At 39.9% G+C, this 26132-nt stretch overlaps 1 protein-coding gene and 1 pseudogene across 22 annotated transcripts in view; one reads left to right on the top strand and one right to left on the bottom strand.

Moving 5' to 3' along the window:
* Positions 1 to 26132, top strand: part of MICU1 (mitochondrial calcium uptake 1) — a 258740-nt gene that overhangs the window by 27061 nt on the left and 205547 nt on the right. The window contains exon 2 of one of the 22 annotated variants that reach the window (NM_001441223.1): positions 2609 to 2706. The exons of 20 other annotated variants lie outside the window; for them this stretch is intronic. The gene's annotated coding sequence lies outside the window, so the exon portion shown is untranslated. Of the gene's footprint in view, positions 1 to 2590; positions 2707 to 26132 lie in introns of all 22 variants that reach the window. One more of the 22 variants, NM_001441220.1, reaches the window with a different exon arrangement.
* Positions 15933 to 16216, bottom strand: RN7SL840P (RNA, 7SL, cytoplasmic 840, pseudogene; annotated as a pseudogene).

Raw genomic sequence — 26132 nt, 5'->3', positions numbered from 1 at the left:
TGGAACGGGAAACTCACATTTTAGGGTGTATTAATAGCTCTCTTTAGTCTTGAGAAATATCAGTGAGGCTGAAAGTGCCTTGGAATGACTTTGCAGGTTTAAGATATGAATGGGAAAAAAAAGAAAAAGGGAAGAAAAGGAGTAAGGAGAAAAGAAAAGGAGGGATTAGGGTTACATTTCATGGGGCTGGTAGAATGCTCTGAAATAGTTTTTTCCAGACCCTAATATTTAGGAATAAATTTTAAGGTAGTATTATTTTAATATTTCATTTTTTGGGGTTATTCTTCATTTAGGATCTAGTAAAAATAATCCGGACCTTTTCACATAACCATTGTCAGGATTTCCTCTTGTAAGTGATTATATGCATCTCAGGAAAACATTAATGGTTATTCTCTTTTTATGGGTATATTTGATTGAGCTAATCTGTAGGGGTTAGCAGAGACAGCTTAAGAATATATTTTGAGGCCCGGCACGGTGGCTGACACCTGTAATCCTAGCACTTTGGAAGGCTGAGGCGGGTGGATCACTTGAGGTCAGGAGTTCAAGACCAGCCTGGCCAACATGGTGAAACCCTGTTTCTACTAAAAATACAAAAATCAGCCAGACGTGGTGGCGGGCGCCTGTAGTCTCAGCTACTTGGGAGGCTGAGGCAAGGGAATTGCTTGAATCCAGGAGGCAGAGGTTGCAGTGAGCCGAGATCATGCCACTGCAATCCAACCTGGGCGACAGGGCAAGGGTCCCATCTCAAAAAAAAAAAGAATATATTTTGAAAGATGAAGTTTAAGTAGCTCCTCTACCTCTCTTACCTCAGTGATAGATATATTATTTTTGTTTTGTTAATTCCTCTATTCTCTACACAAAATAGGGATGTGATGACTAATAGCATTAGCTACTTTTAATGCTTTTAGTTCTGGTTAGTTTTTCATATCTCTAATACTAATTCTCAACTGGGGTTTCATGTCTGAACCACAGAATGCAGAGAATGATTTCAGTGGTTATTTTCACATTTCTCCTCAGATTGGTACATAACTACAGATTGAGCATCCTTAATCCAAAAACTTGAAATCTGAAATGCTCCCAAATCTGAAACTTTTTGACCACTGACATGATGCTACAAGTGGAAAATGCCACACCTAACCTCATGTGACTGGCTGCAGTCATAACACAGGCGCACAACACACAGTTTATTCAGTGGCCCCAAGGGAAAGGAGACCAATCCAGCCTCCTTCAGCTGCAATATATCTTTTGTGCACAATGTACGCAAACTTTGTTTCATGCAAAAATTACAAAAAATGTTGTATAAAATAACCTTCAGGCTATATGTATAAGGTATATATGAAGCATAAATGAATTTCATGTTTAGACGTGAAATTTTATGACTGTACACTTCTGAACCATACACTTAAAAATGATTAACACAATAAATTTAATGATACACATTTCATGTTCTATTCCTAAGATATCTCATTATGTATTTACATATATTCCAAAATGCAAAAAAACCCTAAAAGTCCAAAACACTTATGATCTCAAGCATTTCAGATGAGGGATACTCAGCCTGTAGTACCGTTCTAGATGCATAAGCCCAAGAATGTCTTAAGTCTCTCATGGAACTCCTGTTGAGAAAGGCTACAAGATGTCAGTAGCCATTCTTTGCAGTTGACTCTCCACCATAGCTACGTAGGGATGACATATACTGAAACAGATGAAAGATTTCAAGTAGGAAGGATTATGGGAATTTTTACCTATTTCGTACTGTTTTGGAGAATAGTGTGAGCAATTGTGGGTGTAATTGAGTATTCCTCAAGGAATATGAAATATGTATATTCATTGTGATAGAATCTGGATAAATGATGTTTATAAACGGAAAATGCCATATAGTGTGAAATAAAATTTTTTTAAATTAATAGACTTTTGGGGGAGCAGTTCTAGGTTTACAGAAAAAACTGAGCAAAAAGTACAGAGTTCCCACATATGCCTTCATCTCGCCCCCCAATTTCCCCTATTTTTATCTTGCATTAGTGTGATACATTTATTAAAATTGATGAGCCAATATTGAAACATTATTATTAACTAAAGTCCATAGTTTACATCAGGGTTTACTCTTTTTGTTGTTTGTTCTTCATGTTGGTTTTTTTTTTTTTTTGAGACGGGGTCTTCCTCTGTCACCCAGGCTGGAGTGCAGTGGCGCCATCTCGGCTCATTGCAACCTCTGCCTCCTGGGTTCAAGCAATTCTCCTGCCTCAGCCTCCCGAGTAGCTGGGATTACAGGTGCCCACCACCATGCCTGGCTAATTTTTGTATTTTTAGTAGAGATAGGGTTTCACCATGTTGGCCAGGGTGGTCCCGAACTCCTGACCTCAAGTTGGTCCACCCACCTCGGCCTCCCAAAGTGCTGGGGATTACAGGTGTGAGCCACTGTACCTGGCCCTGTGTTGGATTTTTGTTTGTTTTTGAATTCTTATTGTGATAAACATATAACATCAAATTTGTTGTCTTAATCATTTTTAAGTGTATGGTTCAGAAGTGTTAAGTATAGCCACATCTTACAGCAGATTTCTAGAACTTAAAAAATCTTTTTTTGAGACAGGGTCTCTCTGTCACTCAGGCTGGAGCACAGTGGCATGATCAGGAGTCCCTGTAGCCTTGACCTCCCGGGCTCAAGCAATCCTCCTGTCTCAGTCTCCTGAGTAGCTGGGATTACAGGTATGTACTACCATGCCTGGCTAATTAAAAAATGTTTCAGCGGGGCACAGTGGCTCACGCCTGTAATCCCAGCACTTTGGGAGGCTGAGGCGGGCAGACCATGAGGTCAGGAGTTCGAGACCAACACAGTGAAACCCCATCTCTACTAAAAATACAAAAATTAGCTGGGCGTGGTGGTGGGCGCCTGTAATCCCAGCTACTGGGGAGGCTGAGGCGGGAGAATCACTTGAACCTGGGAGGCAGAGGTTGCAGTGAGCCAAGATTGTGCCACTGCACTCCGGCCTGGGCAGCAGAGCAAGACTCTGTCTCAAAAAAAAAAAAAAAAAAGAAAAAAATTTTTTTATTGTGGAGACAGTCTCCTCACTGTGTTGCCCAGACTAGTTTTGAACAACTGGGCTCAAGCCATCCTTCCTCCTCAGCTTCCCCAAGTGTTGGGATTATAGGTGAGAGCCACTGCACCTGGCCTAGAATGTTTTCATCCAAAATTTTTTAAAAAGCCTCTATGGGAAAGGGAGCTAACCAGTGGTAGCGTGTGAGAAGATAAATCTTTTCTAGAAATTGAGATATCTTCCTTTAGCTTGTCCAGACCTTTGTGGCATGCTTCACAGGTTTACTTAAAGATAGCAAAAAGTTATTTCCTACAATTAGCAGGACCAAGAGCTTTGTTTTTGTGAGGAAAGTAGTCAGAAGTGTGGAAGAAGTGGTTGTTTAGATTGGCATGAATGAAATAGCTATGTTAGCCATTTTTCCAGATTCTGCCTGTATTTCTGCTTATCATTTTGGCATTATTCCTCCAAATACTGCTCTTATCTTTGATGTATATGGTCTTTTTTTTTTTTCTTTTTTTCTTTTTTTTTTTTTTTTTGAGACAGAGTCTCTGTCACCCAGGTTGGAGTGCAGTGATGCGATCTTGGCTCACTGCAACCTCCGTCTCCTGAGTTCAAGCGATTCTCCTGGTTCGGTCTCCAGAGTAGCTGGGACTTCGGGCATGTGCCACCCTGCCCGGCTAATTTTTGTATTTGTAGTAGAGACGGGGTTTCTCCATGTTGGCCAGGCTGGTCTCAGACTCCTAACCTTAAGTGATCTGCCTGCCTTGGCCTCCCCGAAGTGCTAAGATTACAGATGTGAGCCACCGCGCCCAGCCTGATATATGGTCTTATGTACAGGCATGATCATTTCTCCCACTAGGTCTCTATTCTTGGATTTACACATGGAAAAATACGGAATTTCAGCTCGTTTCTTTATAAGGACAGTGTTCATAAATTTATATGGATCTTCTTGTTGATACTTCAATATGCTTATATAAATGTATCATACCTAAGTCTTGTATTCGATTTTCTTTTTGATGTTTTCTCATTTTTCATTGGTTCATCTTTTTTTTTTTTTTGGATTGTACTTTTTTTGAGACAGGGTCTCACTTTGTCATCCAGGCTGGAATGCAGTAGCACAGTCTTGGCTTACTGCAGCCTCAACCTCCTGGGCTCAAGTGATCGTCCTTCCTCAGCCTCCCCAGTAGCTGGGACTACAGGTGCACCATCATGTCCAGCTAATTAAAGAAAACATTCTAAACATTTTTTGTAGAGACAGGGTCTTGCTATGTTGACCAGGCTGGACTTGAACTCTGGGCCTCAAGCAGTCCTCCTACCTCGGTCCCTGAAAGTGCTGGGATTGCAGATGTGAGCCACCACACCTGGCTATCTTTTTACTCCATTGATAGTGTCTTTTGATGGATAAATTTTTAAATTTTCATGAAGTCTAATTTGTCTATTTTTTTCTTTTGTTGCCTTTGCCTTTGGAATCATATCCAAAGAAATCATTGCCAAATCTAGTGTCATGAAGCTTTTTCCCTATCTAGGTTTTCTAGGAGTTTTATGATTTTAGGTGTTACATTTAGGCCTTTCATCTATTTTGAGTTAATTTTTGTATGTGGTGTTAAGTAAGGGTTCAACTTTCTCTTTTGCATCTAGATACCCAGTTTGTCCAGCACCATTTATAGTGCTTTCTTTTTATGTGGATCTTCTTGTTGATACTTCAGTATGCTTATATTTGTCCTTTCCCTCATTGAATGATCTTGACACTCTTGTCAGAAATCATGTGACCACGTATGTGAGGGCTTGTTTCTGGACTTTATTCCATTGGTCTATATGTTTGCCCTTCTGCTAGTACTACACTGTTTTGGATTGCTCAAGCTTTGTAATAAGTTCTGAAATCAGGAAGTGTGAGATCCCCTTATTGTTTCTCTTTTTCAAGCTTATTTTGGCTATTCAGTCTCTTGAGATTCTGTATGAATTTTAACATGGGTTTTTCTATTTCTTCAAACAATGTCATTGGGATTTTGATGGGATTGCATTGAATCTGTAGATCACTTTGACTAGTATTGTATCTTAACAGTATTAAGTCTTCCAATCCACGAGCTTGGGGTATGTTTCTACTTATTCCTATCTTTAATTTCTTTCAACAGTGTTTTGTAGTTTTCATTGTACAAGTTTTTTTACTTCCTTGGTTAATACCTAAAGATTTTATTATTTTTGGTGCCATTGTAAACGGAATTGTTTTTGTAATTTCCTTTTCCAATTGTTTATCACTAGTGTATAGAAATGCAGTTCAGTTTTGCATATTGACTTTGTATCCTGCAAAACATCTTGCTGAATTCATTTATTAGTTCTAACAGTTTTTTGGTGCAATCTTTAGGATTTTCTACATATAAGATCATGTCGTCTGTGAAGAGATAATTTGATAATTTTACTTCTTCCTTTCCAATTTAGATGCTTTTTGGTTTTTTTTTTTTTTGGAGACAGAGTCCGACTGTCGCCCAGACTGTAGTACAGTAGCACGATCTTGGCTCACTACAACCTCCATCTCCCAGGTTCAAGCGATTAGAGCCAGGGTTTCGCCATGTTGGCCAGGCTGGTCTTGAACTCCTGACCTCAAGTGATCCGCCTGCCTAAGCCTCCCAAAGTGCTGGGATTACAGGTGTGTGCCACCACGCCTGGCTGCTTTTTGTTTCTTTATTGCCTCCCTAATTGGTCTTGCTAGAACTTAGTACTATGTTGAATAAAAGCAGTGAAAGTAGACATCCTTGCCTTGTTCTTGATCTTAAAGGAAAAGCTTTCAGTTTTTTACCATTGAGTGCAATGTGTGCTCTGGGTTTTCCATATATGGCTTATTTTGAGATAGTTTCCTTCTCTTCCTAGTTAAGTGTTTTTATTATGAAAGAGTATGGAATTGGGTGGGCATGGTGTCTCATGCCTGTAATCTCAGCACTTTGGGAGGGCGAAGTGGGTGGATCACCTGAGGTCAGGAGTTCAAGACCAGCCTGGCCAACAAGGTGAAACCCCGTCTCTACTAAAAATACAAAAGGAATTAGCCAGGCATGGTGTCAGGTGCCTGTAATTTCAGGTACTTGGGAGGCTGAGGCAGGAGAATCGCTTGAACCCGGGAGGCAGAGGTTGCAGTGAGCCGAGATTGCGCCATTGCTCTCCAGCCTGGGCAACAAGAGTGAAACTCCATCTCAAAAAAAAAAAAAAAAGAAAGAAAAGTGTGTGGAATTTTGGGAAATGCTCTTTCTGCATGAATTGAGATGACCATGTAGATTTTTCTTCATTCTGTTAATGTTGTATATTGCATTAATTAGTTTTCATCTGTTGAACCATCCTTGGATTCTAGGAATAAATCCCACTTTGTCATGGTGTCTAAGTGTTTTTTTATGCTGCTGCATTTGGTTTGCCGGTATTTTGTTTAGGATTTTTACACCAGTATTCATAAGGGATATTGGTCTATAGTTTTCTTGTAGTGTCTTTGTCTGGCTTTGATATTAGTGTAATATTGGCCTCAAAGAATGAGTTAGGAAGTGTTTCCTCTTCTTCAATCTTGTGGAAATGTTCTTAGTAGGATTGGTGTTAGTTTTTCTTTAAATGTTTAGTAGAATTCACCAGTGAAACCATCTGGACCAGGAATTTTCTTTGTTGGGAGAATTCTTTTTTTTTTCCTTGAAACAGGGTCTCAGGCTGGGCATGGTGGCTCCACACCTGTAATCCCAGCACTTTGGGAGGCTGTGGCAGGCAGATCACGAGGTCAGGAGTTTGAGACCAGCCTGACCAACATGTGAAACCCCGTTTGCACTAAAAATACAAAAATTAGCCAGGCATGATGGCAGGTGCCTGTAATCCCAGCTACTCAGGAGGCTGAGGCAGGAGAATCGCTTGAACCTGGGAGGTGGAGGTTGCAGTGAGCCAGGATCGGGCCACTGCATTCCGGCCTGGATGACAGAGCGAGGCTCTGTCTCAAAAAAAAAAAAACAAAAAAACCAGGGCCTCACTTTGTCGCCCAGGCTGGAGTCCAGTGTTGAATGTTGGCTCACTGCAACCTCTGCCTCTTGGGTTCAAGCAATCCTCCTGCCTCAGCCTCTCGAGTAGCTGAGATTCCAGGCGCACACACCACGCCTGGCTAATGTTTGTATTTTTGGTAGAGATGGGGTTTAGCCATGTTGCTCGGTCTGGTGTGCTCAAGTGATCTGCCTGCCTTGACCTCCCAAAGTGCTGGGATTACAAGCGTGAGCCACCGCACCTGGCCTTTACTGGGAGAATTCTGACTACTGATTTAATCTACTAATTAGAGACCCTTTCATTCTAATTTGGGGTGATTTAATCATGGTAGTTTCTGTGTTTCTAGGAATTGGTCCATCTTATCTAGGTTTCCCAATTTGTTGGTATACAGTTGTTCATAGTACTGTCTTATAATCCCTTTTATTTCTGTAAAATCTGTAGTAATATCCCCACTTTCATTTCTGATTTTGGTCAGCCAAGGCTTCTCTCTTTCTTGTTAGTACATCTAGCTAAAGGTGTGTTGATTTTTTTTATTTTTTTCAAATAACCAGCTTTTGGTTTTACTGATTTTTCTCTATTTTTTTCTCTTTTTCATTCATTTCTGCTCTAATCATTATTATTATCTTCCTTATGCTAACTTTAGATTTAGTTTGTTCTTCTTTTTCTAGTTCCATGAGTTGTAAAGTTAGGTTGTTCAGCTGTGATCTTTCTTGTGCTTTTAATGTACTCATTTTGTACCTTTAAATTTCCCCCTTAGCACTGCTTTTGCTGCATCCCACATGTTTTGTTTTTGTTTCATTCATCTCTAAGTATGTTCTAATTTCTTTTGTGAGTGCTTCTTTGATTCATTGGTTAAGAGTGTATTGTTAATTTTCACAAATTTATGAATTTTCCAGTTTTACTTTTGTTACTGATTTCTAACTTTATCGTGTTGTGGTCAGAAAAGATAATTTATAAGTAATCTATGTTTCAAAATCTATTGAGACTTAATTTGTGGCCTAACTTTTAGCTCATTCTGGTAAATGTTCCACGTACCCTCGAGAAGAATGTGTATGCTGTTGTTGGGTAGAGTGTTCTGTAGGTGTCCATTGTATCTGGTTGGTTTACTTGTGTTGTTTGTCTTCTGTTTTTTTTTTTTTTAATTTTTATTTATTTATTTATTTATTTTATTTTTTGAGACCGTGTCTCACTCTGTCTCCCAGGCTGGAATGCAGTGGCGCGATCTCAGCTCACTGCAACCTCCGCCTCCCGGGTTCAAGCAATTCTCCTGCCTCAGCCTCCTGAGTAGCTGGGATTACAGGCACACCCCACCATGCATGGCTAATTTTTTGTATTTTTAGTAGAGACGGGGTTTCACCACACTGGCCAGGAGGCTGGTCTCGAACTCCTGACCTCGTGATCCGCCCACCTCGGCCTCCCAAAGTGCTGGGATTACAGGTGTGAGCCACTGCACCCGACCTGTCTTCTGTTTTCTTACTTATCTTCTACGTGGTTGTTCTATCCATTATCGAGAGCAAGGTTTGCAGTCTCTACCTATTATTCTAGAACTGTCTATTTCTACCTTCATTTTTGTCAGTTTTGCTTCATATTTTGATGGCCTGTCATTAAGTGTATAAATGTTGATAATTATTATATCTTTTTGCTGTTTTGAACCTTTTATTGATATATAATGTGCTTTTTTGTCTCTTGTAAACTTTTTTGATTTAAAGTCTATTTGTTTGATATTAGTATAGCCACGCCTGCTCTCTTTTGGTTACCATTTGCATGGAATATCTTTTTCCATCTTTTTATGTTCAGCTTCCTTGTGTCTTTGGATCTAAAGTGAGTCTGTTATAGACAGTACGTAGTTAAGTCATGTTTAAAAAAAAATCTGTTTTGCCAGTATGTCTTTTGATTGGAGAGCTTGATCCATTTATATTTAAAGTAATTACTGATAAGGAGAGACTTATATGCTGGTAGATTTTTTTTTTTCTTTCTGACAGTATCTCACTATGTTGCACAGGCTTGAATGAGGGGCTGTTCACAGGCGTTTTAGTGTATTGCAGCCTGAAACCCAAATACAGTGTGATAAACTAATAATTTTTTGGAATGCATTAGTCTTTTAAATTGTGTAGGAAACAAAATATGGCGTTAATAAACCAAAATTACAAAAGCACTAGCTTTTAGTCTAATGATCGTTTAAAAATATTAGTTATTAAAAAATCTATCTTTGCTCCTATGGTTTTATCATTTATCAAATTTCTTTATGTATTTCAGTCTATTTCTGGTCTTTCTATTCAGTTCCATTGACCTATTTTTGTATTCATTAATACCATAGTTCCCTACTCTTAATTAGAAGGGCTTTATTATATGTTTTAATGTCTTATAGGGCTATTCCCCACCCCCATTCTCTAAGGGTTTTTTTTTCCTTCAGTATTTTTCTGGCTATTTTTCCATGTTTGTTTTTCGTATGCACTTGTTTAACTCCATAACAAATAAAGCATATTGGTATTTTTACTGAGACTACATTAAATCTATACATTTGCTTAGCAAAAAGGGTTTATGATGTTGAGTTACCTTGTCTAAGTAAAATGTACCCTCCATTTGAGTCTTCAGAAGAAGCATTTCCTCAGTTAGAATTGTTTATTCCTATTTGGTCTAATGTGTTGCTGTTGTAACTGAGATTTCCACTACCATTATGTCCTTTTTTTTTTTTCCCTGAGACGGAGTTTCAGTCAGTCGCCCAGGCTGGAGTGCAGTGACGCAATCTCGGCCCACTGCAACCTCCGCCTCCTGGGTTCAAGCAATTCTCCTGCCTTGGCCTCCTGAGTAGCTGGGATTACAGGCGCCTGCCACCACGCCCAGCTAATTTTTTGTATTTTTAGTAGAGACGGGGTTTTACCATGTTGGCCAGGGTGGTCTCAAACTCCTGACCTCAGGTGATCCACCCACCTCGGCCTCCCAAAGTGCTGGGATTACAGGCGTGAGTCACCGTGCCCAGCCCATTATGTCCTGTAACAGGTTATTGTTTTTATACATGAAGGCTATTGATTTCTCTATGTTAATTTCATTACTTGCCACCTTAGTGGGATTTTTTGTTGTTTGAGTTAGTTTTACAATGAATTCTTCAAGGCATTGGCTCAACCTGGACTGATTTTTCCCCCAAGGGGAGCTTGTTAATGTCTAAAGACATTTTTGGTTGTCATAACTGGGTGGAGATGGTGCTGCCGGCATCTAGCATGTGAAAGCCAGAGGTGGTGCTAAACATCCTACGATGCATAGGACAGCCCCCCACAGCCAAGCATTATCTCGTCAAAATGCCAATAGTGCCATGGTTTGGGAAACTGTGTTTTCCAGGTTTACTATCGTATCATTTTCGAATAGAAATAGTTTTACTTCCTCTTTACCAATTTTTATGTCTAACTGAGTTTTGTTGTCTAACTACACTAACCAATTCCTATTATACTATGTTGAACAGTGGTGGAAATAGTGACCATACTTGCATTGTTCCTATTCTTAGTGGAAATGCCTTTGGTATTTCTTCATTCAAGAAGGTACTGGCTTTAGAGCTAAAGTATGTGTAATTGGGCAGAAAATGTAAGTTGTTTTTTTTCCTTTCCCTCATAGATTCTTAGTTGAGACACTCTATTAGTCCATTCTTGCACTGCTATAAAAAAAAAAACCTCAGACTGGGTAATTTATGAAGAAAAGAGGTTTAATTGACTCACGGTTCTGCAGGCTGTACAGGTAGCATGGCTGGGGAGTTCTCAGGAAACTTTCAATTATGGCAGAAGGTAAAGGGGAAGCAGGCTCGTCTTCACATGGCCAGAGCAGGAGAGAGAGAAGAGGGGGAAGTACTACACACTTTTAAACAGCCAGATCTCATGAGAACTCACTCACTGTCACAGAACAGCGAGGGGAAAATCTGCCCCCCGTGATCCAGTCACCTCCCATGAGGCAACTCCTCCAACACTGGCAATTACAATTAAACATGAGATTTAGGTGGGGACATAAATCCAAACCATGTCACTCTCCAAAACAAAAATCAGATTAACAAGAAAAAGACAGAAGTTTATTGACCCACGCTCTACCCATCACACAGGAGAAGCCTCAGTTTAAAAGTGTTTTTCTCTCAAAGAAGTGGCTTAGAGACCTTGCTTAAATAGTATTTTATTAAATTAAAATTTTATTTATTTATTTATTTGTTTTATTTATTTATTTATTTATGATAGAGTCTCACTCTGTCACCTAGGCTGGAGTGCAGTGGTGCGATCTCAGCTCACTGCAACCTCCGCCTCCCAGGCTCAAGCCATTCTCATGCCTCAGACACCCAGGTAGCTAGGATTACAGACGTGCACCACCATGTCCAGCTAATTTTGTTGTTGTTGTCGTTGTATATTTAGTAGAGACAGGGTTTCACCATGTTGCTCAGGCTGATCTTGAACTCCTGGCTTCAAGTGATCTGTGTGCTTTGGCCTTCCAAAGTGCTGTGATTACTGGTGTGAGCCACTGCGCCTGGCCTATTTTTTTTTTTTTTTTTTTTTGAGACATGCTGCCACTCTTGTTGTCCAGGCTGGGGTGTAGTGGCATGATTCCTCACTATAACCTCAAACTCCTGGGCTCAAGAAATCCTCTCACCTTAGCCTCCTGAGTAGCTAGGACTACAGGCACACACCACCATGCTTGGCTAATTTTTTATTTTTTGTAAATGTGGGGTCTTGCTGTATTGGCTAGTCTTATACTCCTGGACTCAAGCAATCCTCTTACCTCAGTCTCCCAAGGCACTGGGATTATAGACACTTTTGATAAAGAGTATTTTCAGAGTTAATGTAGACTTACTTTTACTTGTGATACTTTTCTATTAACCTTAGGCTCTATTGCTAGTTCTCTTCTTTATTCTTCATGACATTTTTCTCAGTCTGCCTTTGCTCACTGCCTTTGCTCAAAGAGCCTTTAGGTGAAAGGTGTAGGGGAGGAGCATGAGAAGTCATGCCCTGAGATTTGGTGCTTTTTCTCTTTCTGCTTAGTATTATTTTGAAGTTTAGGCATCCTGTCTTCAAAACATGCTAGGGATGCGGTTTTCACACAGTGTTATTTTCCCCTTATGGTTTTTGCATTGTTTTTGGAGAAAATAATGGAAGAGAGAGATATAGGCATGTGCCATAGTCTTCAACTACACCTGTTGTCTTTAAAACACACAAATTTCGTAGAAAAACCTCAACCAAACAAACTGATTTCATATTTTGGTTTGATGATTAAGATTTAAATTAGTATTCCAGGAGCCTTTAGGTCTAGGAAATCCCAAGTGAATAATCAAATACAGTCAGCTATTCATATCTATGGGTTTTTTTTTTTTTGAGATGGAGTCTCGCTCTGTTGCCCAGGCCGGAGTACAGTGGCACGATCTTGGCTCCCTGCAACCTCCATCTCCTGAGTTCAAGTGATTCTCCTGCCTCAGCCTCCCGAGTAGCTGGGATTACAGGCATGCACCACCATGCCCGGCTAAATTTTTGTATTTTTAGTAGAGATGGGGTTTCACCATGTTGGTCAGGGTGGTCTTGAACTCCTGACCTGAGGTGATCCACCCGCCTTGGCCTCCCAAAGTGCTGGAATTACAGGTGTGAGCCACAGTGCCTGGCCTTTATCCATGGGTTCTTTATTCATGGATTCAACCAACCATGGATTAAAAATATTTGATGCTGGGCATGGTGGCTCACAACCGTAATTCCAGAACTTTGGGAGGCTAAGGTGGGAGTGTGGCTTGAGCTCAGGAGTTCGAGACTAGCTTAAGCAACATAGCAAGACCTCATCTCTACTAAAAATAAAAATTAGCTGGGTGTGGTGGTGTGCACCTGTAGTCCAAGCTACTTGGAGGCTGAGTCAGGAGAACTGCTTGAGCCTGGAAGAGAGAGGCTGCAGTGAGCTATGACCATGCCATTGCACTCCAGCCCAGGCAACAGAGCGATACCCTGTCTCAAAAAAAAAAAAAAAAAAAGAAAAAAAAAAAGAAAAAATAAAAACAATACAATGAAAAGTTATACAAATTAAAAATACAATGTATAATAACTATTTACGTAGTATTTACATTGTATTAAGTATTATAAGTTATCTAGGGATGGTTTAGAGTATATGACAGGATGTGCATAGTTTGAATGCAAATATTATACCATTTTACATAAGATACTTGAGCATCTGGGATTTTGGTGTCTATGAGGGTCCTGGAACCTATCCCTTGCAGATACTGAGGGATTACTATATTGGTTAACTGGTTAACAGCACCTTATTGGATTAACCCTATAGTAAGAATTGTTTAAACAGAAACATTTAAAATGAATTTTTTTTTTTTTTTTGAGAAAGAGTCTTGCTCTGTCGCCCAGGCTGGAGTGCACTGGTTCAAGTGATTCTCCTGCCTCAGTCTCCCAAGTAGCTGGGATTACAGGCACACGCCACCATGCCTGGCTAATTTTTGTATTTTTAGTAGAGACAGGGTTTCACCATGTTGGCTAGGCTGGTGTCGAGCTCCTGACCTCAGGTGATCTGCCTGCCTCGGCCTCCCAAAGTGCTGGGATTACAGGCGTGAGCCACCGCGCCTGGCCTAAAATGAAATTTTATGTTATATACTAAGATTCTGTCACTGCTGATGTTGCTACAAGGTATACAAAGTGAGGATAAAATGTTTGAACTCTAAAACAGGGTTTGAAGTTGAAATGTATCTTAGCTTTAGATAAAAAATGAACTTACTAAAAATACAAAAATTAGCTGGGCATGGTGGTGGGCACCTGTAATCCCAGCTGCTCGGGAGGCTGAGGGGTGAGAATCGCTTGAACCGGGAGGTGGAGGTTGCAGTGAGTGAAGATTGCACCACTGCACGCCAGCCTGGGGGACAGAGGGAAACTCTGTCTCAAAAAAAAAAACAAAAAAAAAAACCTAAAACCAAAGATGTTTGAGAGAGGTGGAGAGTAAAAAATGGTTTTCCACAAATGCTTTCTTCCAGACTATTCCTCTGTCCTTTTGCTTCTACCCACCCTGACCTTTTCCTTGTGCAAGTCAATACTTTCTTGGCTGTAATTTCCTTTGGAGCAGTGTTTAAACTTTCCTTATTGATAGCTCATTTTTTCATCCTGTAGTTTTTTAATGGCTCTTAGGTACATTAAAAAGTATTTATTAGGTCCAGAATGGTGGCTCACACGTATAATCCCAGCACTTTGGGAGGCTGAGGTAGGCAGATCACTTGAGCTCAGCAGTTCAAGACCACCCTGGGCAACATAGTGAAACCCCAGCGCTTCAAAAAATGGCCAGGTGTGTGGCATGTGCCTGTAGTCCCAGCTACTCAGAGGCTGAAGTGGGAACATTGCTTGAGCCCAGGAGGTGGAGGCTGCAGTGAGCCATCATTGCACCACTGCACTCCAGCTTGGGCAACAGAGCGAGACCCTGTCTCCAAAAAAAAAAAGTATGTATTAACTATTAAAGCTCTATAGCTACTTAATTTCCGAGACTTGAAAATCAAATTGGAGATGATATTTTATGGAAATTTTACATATTGAAACCTTATTTATGATCTGAACACATTAATACATTATAGAGGTTTTAGACATCATTGTTTCTGTAATTACCTGAATGGTTGGTTTTTGCTTTAAATAAGTGTATCTTTGGTTATTTTTTCTTTTTCTTTTCCATATTTTGTTTTTCTGTGCAGTTATTTGGAAGGGCAGATTTTCACCCTTTACTACTTCTTCCTTCACCAGACGTTAAGTTTCAGGTTTTATTGTTGCAGTAAAAAGGCTGTATGGTGTTTTAAGAAGGTGAACCATGGAGGTTCTTGGTGGATAAAGGACTGTTTCAGAGAGTATCAGAAGGTGAAGTACTGTGGAATGTTGACCTGCTTTTTGATAGCATCTTTCCTTAACAGAACATGTGCAAAGCTTCTGTCTCAAATCTAACATTTCTGTGAGATGATACTTGTTTCTACAATTATCATTTTATACTGTAGAGACTTGTGTAACTTAAATTAACTTTACATTCTCATCCAGATCATTTAAAATAGCTTTCTCTGCTATTGGAAGATACTCACTTCTCAGAACAGGCTTAGCTGAAGTGTGAGCTTTTCTCATTTATTGTGTCACTAATGTCACTTTAAGCTATGAAATGTATCTTTTCTGGACATGAACATTAATCTCTACTGTATTTTGGCAGTCATTCTAGTGTCTTCAATGAAGAACTTGAAATATTCATTTCATCTAAAAAAGCTATAGAGATGTTTAAAAAATGATTTGGCATAATTAAAATCTAATATAGTGTTATGTTTTGAGCAGTATCTTAGTTGTACAGTACACATTGTATTTCTAGTAGCTTATCCCATTCCTCGAATAATTTCATGTATGTATTATCATCTAGCAATAAAATGTTAGAGGGCTCTAAGATAATGCATTCAGGCCAGGCGAGGTGGCTCACACCTGTAATCATGCCTTGGGAGGCCAAGGCAGGGGGATCACCTGAGGTCAGGAGTTCAAGACCAGCCTGGCCAACATGGTGAAACCCCATCTCTACTAAAAATACAAAAATTAGCCAGGTGTGGTGGTACACAGCTGTAGTCCCAGCTACTTGGGAGACTGAGGCAGGAGAATCGCTTGAACCTGCGAGGCGGAAGTTGCAGTGAGGTAAGATGGCACCACTGCACTCCAGCCTGGGCAACAGAGGAAGACTCTGTCTCAAAAAAAAAAAAAAAATGCATTCAGCCAAACTATTTTGTGAAGAATAGTTAGCGCTTTCCTACCCTAAGTAAATCTTCCTTGAAGCCTATGTTGAGCCCTTTCCACTTCCCAACCTAATGTAATTGAATCCCTGTTAATATGTTCTTGTAGCCCTTGCTTTTTTTTTTTTCTGCCTTGTATTATGGCTATTTTTGTTTTTTCTTTTTTGTTAACAGGCAGGGTCTCGCTACATTGCCCAGCATGGACTGCAGTGCTGTTCACAGGCCCAGTCCCACTACTGGTCAGCATGGGAGTTTTGGCCTGCTCTGTTTCTAACCTGGCCTGGTTCACCCCTCCTTAGGCAACCTGTTGGTGTTACCATATTGATATTGAACTTATTGTGGACACTCGATGGTCATGTAGCACACTATAGCCCAGAACTCCTGGGCTCAGATGATCCTCCTGCCTCAGCTTCCTGAGTAGCTGGGACTACAGGCACGTGCCACAATGCCCAGTGGTTCTTTTTTTTTTTTTTGAGACAAGGTCTTGCTCTATCATCTAGGCTGGTGTGCAGTGGCATGATCATGGCTCGCTCACTGTAGCTTTGACCTCCTGGGCACAAGTGATCTTCCCACCTCAGACTCCTGACTAGTGGAGAATACAGGCTTGTGCCACCATGCCCAAGTAATTTTTTTAAATTTAATTTTAAAAAACTAAATTTTTTGTAGAGACAAAATTTTGCCATATTGTCCAGGTTGGTCTTGAACCTGACAAGGTTCAAGATTGCTTGAGCTCAAGCAATTCACCCACCTTGGCCTCCCAAAATGCTGGGATTTCAGGCATGAGCCATTGCTCCCAGCCACATTATGGTTATTTGAATAGTTGTTTTATCTTCATTACTAAATTATAAGGTGTTAGTGGGCAAAGACTATGTCTTGTTCATCTTTGTGCCTCTTGCTGTGTCCTCGCAAAATACTTTGCTCAATAAATAATGATCTGAATGAAATAATGACAATTGGACATTTTAGATTATGATTTGCTTAAATGAATGAGACTAATATAGGATACTGTCTCATTAAAAACCACTCAGGGCTGGGCATGGTGGCTCACACCTGTAATCTCAGCACTTTGGGAGGCTGAGGCAGGCGGGTCATCTGACGTCAGTAGTTCAAGACCAGCCTGACCAACATGGTGAAATCCCATCTCTACTGAAAGTACAAAATTACCCAGGCGTGGTGGCACATGCCTGTAATCCCAGCTACTAGGGAGGCTGAGGCAGGAGAATCACTTGAACCTGCGAGGCAGAGGTTGCAGTGAGCTGAGATCGCGCCATTGCTCTCCAGCCTGGGTAACAAGAGTGAAAACTCCATCTGAAAAACAAAAACCAAAAAACAAAAACACTCAGGATGACCTTGTTTCTCCAAAATGTACAAAGTACCTTTATATTTTATTTTTCTGAAATGAACTCTTAGAACCGGAAAAGGACTTAGAAAGTCTTTTTCTAAGACAAAATAAAAAGATGCACCAGTGCCCTGCATCTTCCAGAATATAGTCTCAGTGAAGAAGGCTTTTACTGGTCAATGGGTGGCTGGTAGTAGAACTAGAATGATAAGCTAAGTTTTTTGTATTTACTCTAGTTTAATTGAGCAGTAACTCTTGTTAGTTCTGTTGGTAGTAACTTCAAATGCATTAATTGACAGTCTTGCTCTGTCACCCAGGCTGGAGTGCAGTGGTGTGATCTCGGCTCACTGCAACCTCCACCTTCCAAGTTCAAGCGATTCTCCTGCCTCAGCCCCCTGAGTAGCTGGGATTACCGGCAGGCACCACCATGCCCAGCTAATTTTTGTACTTCAGTAGAGACAGGGTTTCACCATGTTGGCCAGACTGGTCTCAAACTTCTGACCTCAAGTGATCGCCTGCCTTGGTCTTTCAAAGTGCTGGGATTACAGGTGTGAGCCATTGTGCCTGGCCTCATTAAGTCTTAAATACAGGCATAACAGATGCTAACTTTTTTCACTTTTCTCCTAGGTTCATGGCAGCTATTGTTATCATAGATGGCAAATGTTTTGTGATAATATACGCCCTTTGCAAAAAAGCAGCATTGCACGTATCAGTGAAATAAATGCATTTGTTTATGTTTGCACTATTGCCTAGTGTGTATTTAATAAGTTGTTCTAGGTTGCAGTTTTAATAAAATAGATTAAGAAAAAGTGCATCCATCTGTGTTGTGGAGCACTAAGGTAATTATGTCACTACTCCTCAGTTGAATTGGGCATACTGTAATTTTTAGTGTGGAGTTTGGCATCTTGTTTGCTATTATAATTCATTCAGATTTTCTGTTGTCTTTTTTTTTCTGTTTTCAAAGGTAAATGTGGCAGAATAATAATTATGTTTTCCAGTAATTTGTGAAGATGAAACTTCTGGAATATTTTTGAGAACCTTGTTGCTGTTTAGATTAAATCATTGTTTTCCATAGGGAAATGAATGGATAATTTATTCAAGTATTTTGAAAGTATAATCAGCCATTAGAAAGCAAAAGCTTGGCCGGGCACAGTGGTTCACGCCTGTAATCCCAGCACTTTGGGAGGCTGAGGTGGGTGGATCACCTGAGGTCAGGAGTTCAAGACCAACCTGGCCAACATGGTGAAACCCCATCTCTACAAAAAATACGAAAGTTAGCCAGGTGTGGTGGCGCATGCCTGTAGTCCCAGCTACTCAGGAGGCTGAGGCAGGAGAATCACTTGAACCCAGGAGGTGGAGGTTGTGGTGAGCCAAGATCGTGCCTTTGCACTCCAGCCTGGGTGACAATGTGAGACTCTGTCTCAAAATAAATAAATAAATAAATTAATTAATTAAATAAATAAATAAATCAGCAAAAGCTTGGATGAAAATCTTTCCAGTCAGTAGTGGTACAGCTGAGATTGAATTGGAAAAGTATTGAAATGGTTTAAGTTGAGAATGTTTTAACCTTTTTTGGGTGAGTAGAGTGGGGTGGGGTTGTTTAATAAAAATAACATTCCACTAAAAAATAACATTGGATGGAATAGTGGGTATTAATTACATCATACCTAGACATATTATTTTACATTGAAAACAATGTCCCACTTTTTACAATGAAGAAAAGATGATGCCTCAGGGCTGGGAATAGACTGGAATTAAGTAAAATAAATATAACTTAATATTCCAGTAGCTCTCACAACAACAGTGATAAACTCTTGAAAAATAAAGATTATAAAATTCTCTTACTAAAGCAAATATACAAATTAATTTAGATGGCATTTTTTAAATCTGTCATATAAATGAAAAAGATTGATGACACAGGTTGATTATCTTTTATTTGAAATGCTTGGGACCAGAAACATTTAGATTTTTTTTTTTTTGATTTTTGAATATTTGGATATACATAATGAGATGTCTTGGGGATAGGACCCAAGTCTAAACACAAAATTCATTTATGTTTCATATGCACCTTATACATATAGCCTGCAGGTAATTTTATACCATATTTTTAATAATTTTTTTGCATGAGACAAAGTTTATATACACTGAGCCATCAGAAGCATAGGTGTCACCTTGTTATCATGAGATTGCATCCACCTATGTGGACATTCTGTGGTTGTTTGGCATAACCATTGTTGCTGACTCTGAATTTATATGCTACCAATTAGCAATCATCTTATGCCTATTCACACATATGTACTTAATGGTAAAAAAAAACATACTATTAATAAAATGAAAAAAATGTGTCAGGTATGAAATTTTCTGCTTGTAACACCATGGCAGCACTCAAAAAGTTTTGGATTTTAGGGCATTTCAGATTTGTGGATTAGGGTTGCTTAACTTGTATCTAATACAGGAACAGGAGTTCACTGATACACTGGTGGAAAGGGTAAATTGTAATGTTGGTATTGAAGGAGATTAGTGCTCTTTAAGAGGTCAAAGGGCGCTGCCTTACCTCTCCCACCAAGTGAGGAAGCCATGAGAAGCCTGTGTCTATGCGGAACAGGCCCTTACTAGACACAGAATCTGCTGGTGCCTTGATCTTGGACTCCCCGGCCTCCAGAACTATAAGCAATAATTTTTTGTTGTTTATGAATTACCCAGTATAAGGTGTATTGTCACAGCAGCCAGAACAGACTAAGACAATGTACAATATTATTTATATGTAAATACATAGAAAAATTTCAGGAAAGATGTTTACTAAACTGCTTTCTGAGGTTACTTCTAGGGAGAGTGATGGTATTTTAGGTATAGGTGTGCCTCATGGCAGGTTTGGTTCCAGACCACTGCCATAAAGCTAATGTCGCAAAATAGCAAGTCATATGAATTTTTTGGTTTCCCAGTGCATATAAAAGTTATGTTTATACTATAGTGTAGTCTATGAAGTGTGCAGTAACATTATATCTAAAAAACAGGCTGGGCGCGGTGACTCACACCTGTAATCCCAGCACTTTGGGAGGCCAAGGCGGATGGATCACAAGGTCAGGAGTTCAAGACCAGCCTGGCCAATATGGTGAAACCCCGTCCCACTAAAAATGCAAAAATTAGCCGGGTGTGGTGGCAGGTGCCTGTAGTCCCAGCTACTCGGGAGACTGAGGCAGGAGAGTCGCTTGAACCTGGGAGGTGGAGGCTGTAGTGAGCCAAGATTGCACCACTGTACTCCAGCCTGGGTGACAAAGCGAGACTCTGTCTCAAAACAACAACAACAACAGCAAAAAAAATGTGTACATGCCTTAATTAAAAATACTTTATTGGGCCAGGCATGGTGGCTCACACCTGTAATCTCAGTACTTTGGGAAGCTGAGGCAGGCAGATCAACTGAGGTCAGGAATTCGAGGCCCGCCTGGCCAACATGGTGAAACCCCACCTCTACTAAAAATACAAAAAAAAAAAAAAAGCCAGGCATGGTGGCACATGCCTGTAATCCCTGCTACTCTGGAGGCTGAGGCAGCAGAATCACTTGAACCCCAGAGGCAGAGTTTGCTGTGAGCCAAGATCATGCCACTGCACTCCAACTTGGGTGATAGAGTGAGACTCCATCTCAAAAAAAAAATCTTTATTGCTAAAAAATGGTAACAATCATCTGAGCCTTTAGCAAGTGACAGTCCTTTTGCTGATAGAGGGTCTTGCCTCCATGTTGATGGCTAATCAGGTGTAGTGGTTGCTGAAGACTGGGGTGGCTGTGGCAATTTCTTAAAAAAAGACAACAATGACGTTTGCAGCATCAATAGACTTTTTCTTTCACAAAAGATTTCTCTGTAACATAGGACGCCGATTGATAGTGTTTTACCCAGGTAATTTCTTTCAAAATTTTTTCAAAACTTGAGTCAGTTCTCCCAAACCCTGCTGCTGCCTTATCAACAAAGTTTATGGAATATTGTAAATCCTTTATGGTCATTTCAGCAATGTTCACAGCATCTTCACTGGGAGTAGGTTTCATCTCAAGAAACCGCTTTATTTGTTCATCCAGAAGAACAAAGTTCATCCATGTTGATGGCTGCTGTATGAACATGGATGAACTCTTCATCCATTCAAGTTTTGCCATGAGATCATAGCAATCCAGTCACATTTTCAGGCTTTACTTTAAAAAAAATTTTTTTAATTGAAATTTACAAAAACAATTTTTTTGACGCTAGCAGGACTGAAACTTGCAACTTTTGAATTAGAATTCCAGTGTGCTATTCAGGCTCCACTTCTAATTCTAGTTCTCTTGCTGTTTCCTCCGCATATGCAATGACTTCTTCTACTGATCAGATGAGATTGGGTGCTTTCAGGGTGGTATGGCTGTATACTTTTTTTTTTTTTTTTTGAGACGGAGTTTAGCTCTTGTCACCCAGGCTGGAGTGCAGTGATGCAATCTCAGCTCATCACAACCTCCGCCTCCCGGGTTCAAGCAATTCTCCTGCCTCAGCCTTCCGAGTAGCTGGGATTACAGGCATGTGCCACCATGCCTGGCTAATTTTGTATTTTTAGTAGAGACGGAGTTTCTCCATGTTGGTCAGGCTGGTCTCGAACTTCTGACCTCAGGTGATCTGCCTGCCTCGGCCTCCCAAAGTGCTGGGATTACAGACATGAGCCACCATGCCCAGGCTTCAATATGTAGTCTTTTATCCCTCACTGCCCTCCCACCTGTCCCCCCAGAGCCCCCAGAGTCCATTATATCATTATTATGCCTTTGTGCCCTCATAGCTTAGCTCCCACTTATTAGTGAGAACATAGAATATTTGGTTTTCCATTCCAGAGATACTTCACTTAGAAGAATGGCCTCCAGCTCCATCCAAGTTGCTGCAAAAGCCATTATTTCATTTTGTTTTATGGCTAAGTAATATTCCATGGTGTATATACACCACATTTTCTTTATCCACTTGTTGGTTGATGGGCATTTAGGTCAGTTCCATATTTTTTTTGCAATTGCAAATTGTGAGATATAGCATAATTCTTATGGATCCTAAGGATTTTCAGAATGATGAATGAGCGTTGCCTTCAACTTAAAGTCACTAGGTACATTAGCCCCTAACAAGAGAGTCAGCCTGTCCTTTGAAGCTTTGAAGTCAGGCATTGACTTCTCTCTAGCTGTGAAAGTCCTAGATGGCATCTTCTTCCTAGTAAGGCTGTTTTGTCTACACTGAAAATCTCTTGTTTAGTGTAGCCACCTTCATCAAATGATCTTAGCTAGATCTGGATAACTTGCTGCTTCACCTTGCACCTTTTATGTTATGAGGACAACTTCTTTCCTTATACCTCATAAACCTGTGCTAGCTTCAAACTTTTCTTCTGCAGCTTCCTCACTGCTCAGCTTTCATATAATTGAAGAGAGTTAAGGTCTTTCTCTGGATTAGGCCTTGGCTTAAGGGAATGTTGTGGCTGATTTGATCTTCTGTCTAGACCACTAAAATCTGCCTCACATCAGCAGTAAGCCTGATTCACTCTTTTATTCTTATGTTCATTGGAGTAGCACTTTTAATTTTTTTCAAGAACTTTTCCTCTGCATTTGCAGCTTGGCTAACTTTTGGCCTATCTTGGCCTTTGGCTTTTGACATGCCTTCCTCATAAGCTTAATCATTCCTAGCTTTTTTTTTTTTTTTTTTTTTTTGGTGTTTTTTTGAGACGGAGTTTGACTTGTGTTGCCCAGGCTGGAGTGCAGTGGCACGATCTCAGCTCACTGCAACCTCTGCCTCCCAAGTTCAAGAGATTCTACTGTTTCAGCCTCCCGAATAGCTGGGATTACAGGCTCCCACCACCATGCCCAGCTAATTTTTGTATTTTTAGTAGAGATGGGGTTTTGCCATGTTGGTCAGGCTGATCTCGAACTCCTGACTTCAGGTGATCCACCCGCCTCAGCCTCCCAAAGTGCTGGGATTACAGGCGTGAGCCACCGCGCCCGGCCCACTTCTAGCTTTTGATTGAAAGTGAGATGTGTGAAATTTGTCCTTTCACTTGAACGTTCATTTAGAGGCCCTTGTAAGGTTGGTTGTTAACTGGTCTAATTTTAATATTACTGTGTCTCAGGGAATGGGAAGGCTTGAGGAAAGGGAGAGAGACGGGGAAATGACGGGTGAGTGAAGCAGAACACACACAACAGTTACCAATTACGTTTGCCATCTTTGGGCATGGTTTTTGGTGCCTCAGAACAATTAAAATAGTAACACCAAAGGTCACTGATCCTAGATCATGATAACAAATACAGTAATAATGAAAAAGTTGGAAATATTGCAAGAATTACCAAGATGTGACACAGAAACACAAAGTATGTGTATGCTGTTGGGAAAATGGCACCAATGGACTTGTTTGAAACAGGGTTGCCACAAACCTTCAATTTGTGAAAAATGCAATCTCCATGAAGTGTATCATAAAGTGAGGCACAATAGAATGAGGTATGCCTTTATTTGAAGAAGACTTACTCTTTTTTTGTGCTTCTGTGTAACATTTTAGACAATGAAAATTTATTTTTATATTATTTGTACAATTAAAGCTATTAAAAATGTAAAAAAATACAAATATTTGTGAAAGTTACAGATATTAGGATGAATCACTTTTGTTAGATCCAAACAAAATAGGGCCAGGAAGGCCACAGACAGAGGAGACTGCTGCTTACATGTGTGAGATGAGTGTTTCCAAAAAGTTGGGCATGGTGGCTCACACCTGTAATCCCATGGACTTGGAATGCTGAGGCAGGATGATTGCTTGAGACAAGGAGTTCAAAACTAGCCTTAGCAATACAGCAAGACCCCATCTCCGTAAAAATTGAGAGAGAGAGAAAAGACAGAACCATTTTCAGGAACTTTCTAAAAATCCCACAAGAAACTCTTTGACATCATCCGGGCATCTCCTATTTTGAGAAGGTTTATTACTAGACATTCTTTACAACTAGTAATAAACCTAGTCCTTTTTTTGAGCGCACTTGTCCAGTGCTCTCAAAAGAACACTTGCCCAGTAATGGCATCTCCACCAGTGAACTAACAACAGCAATGGCTTTGGGCCTCTGGAACAAGTGAACTCTGTTTCTAAGCAGCTTAAGTGAATCTCTGCCTGTTTCCTAATAAAGCTTCCCTTTATCCTTTCCTCACTGGATACGCTGGTGACTTGCCATCCCATGCATTCTAGATTATAATTCTCATTTCTCATTCCCGAATAAATTCAACATATTTGGGGATAATTTTCCTTAGTATCTTTTTTTTAGACTGACATACTCTTCTTGCTTGTGCCACACAAAAACCTGCATAATGTCCAATAAATCATTATTATCATTATTATCTCATTATTTCCCCATCTTTATTTTTTATTTTATTTTATTTTTTTGAGATGGAGTTTCACTCTTGCTGCCCAGGCTGGAGTGCAATGGTGCAATCTCAGCTCACTGCAACCTCCACCTCCTGGGTTCAAGCGATTCTCCTGCCTCAGCCTCCCGAGTAGCTGGGATTACAGGCATGTGCTACCATGTTTGTATTTTTAGGAGAGATGGGATTTCACCATGTTGGTCAGGCTGGTCTTGAACTCCTGAATTCAGGTGATCCACCTACCTCAGCCTCCCAAAGTACTTGAGATTACAGGCGTGAGCCACCACGCCCGGCTGACATTTTATTTAACTGAGTTCTCACTTTAATTGGTGGCCAGATCTGGGTAGATCTCAGATATGTTTCTTGGCCACAGAGTTAGCAGGTGCTGCTTTCAACAACAGTGTCGGGTAATAGTTGGTTAATAGTACAGGAGAGGTTTATTTAGGCCAGTGCAAGGATTGGAAGAGCCAAGTAGTCATTCTCTAAATGTGCAGTTGTCAGGGGTCAGAAATATAAGGGGGTAAATCAAATATAAAAAGGCAAGCAGAAATTTTAAGTCAGGATAAGGATATGGTCTGGAATTGTAATAGTTTGCTAATTTGTGTAAGAATGTGCCAGTACTCAAAATAAAAGGATATGAGCTTGATTTACATAAAGTTTATCTCACTAGGGAAGCTTGCCATAATGTGCCTTGATTGTTGAGACATTATTGGGCCTGAGCTCAGTGGTGGGGCTGGTAAGTGACAGTTCCTGGCTGAGGGGAATGCAACAACTGCCTTCTGGGCCTGCCTTTATTTTTACTTAAATGAAAAAGTTTAAATAAAATCCCTAGGGGAGCATTAAATTTTATTTGCCTAATTTAAATTTTATTTATAAATAAAAAATTAACCATGTGATTATATATTTTACAAAGTTTAATTGGCATGTGCATATTACCTTATATTCTTCCTTTAAACTTAAATGAAAATGCTAATATGAAATACTGTACATTTGTTTGCATGGATAAATACATAAATTTTGTTTCAAATGAAATAGCATATCATAAAAATCTCTCTGTATGTTATCTTATTTCCAACTCCCACCAGCACCACTACTATTACTTTTTGTGAGTGTGTTGTTACTTAATAAGTACATATGCGTTCTTATTTTCTCCTTTTTTATATGAAAGGTGGCATACTGTATGTGGTATTCCATATGTTGCCTTAGTTTTTTTTTTTTTTTTTTTTTTTTTTTTGTAGTGATGGGGGTCTCATTATGTTTCCCAGGCTGGTCTCAAACTCCTGGACTCAAGTGACCCTCCCATATTGGCCTTCCAAACTGCTGGGATTACAGGCATGAGCTACTGCGGCTGGCCTATTGCTTTTAAAAAGATAACACTATGAACTTTTTTCATGTTTTTACATAAAGTTTTCTCATTCTCTTTATTGCTATGTGGTATTGCTTTATATAGATTTATCATACTTTAACCAATCTCTCTTGGTGAACATTGGGGTAGTTCTTAGTGTTTTGCTATTATAAACTATGATATAATAATTATGCACCATATACATGTGCATAATTTCACAAGTGTGCAAGTACATCAGTAGGGTATATTATTAGAAGTGGAATTTCTAGGCCAGTATATGCAGATTATATGAGTAATTTTAATGCAAATT

This window comes from Homo sapiens, chromosome 10 (genome assembly GCF_000001405.40).
Source record: "Homo sapiens chromosome 10, GRCh38.p14 Primary Assembly".
Taxonomy (NCBI): Eukaryota; Metazoa; Chordata; class Mammalia; order Primates; family Hominidae; genus Homo; species Homo sapiens.
This window is presented reverse-complemented; position numbering and strand designations above follow the sequence as displayed.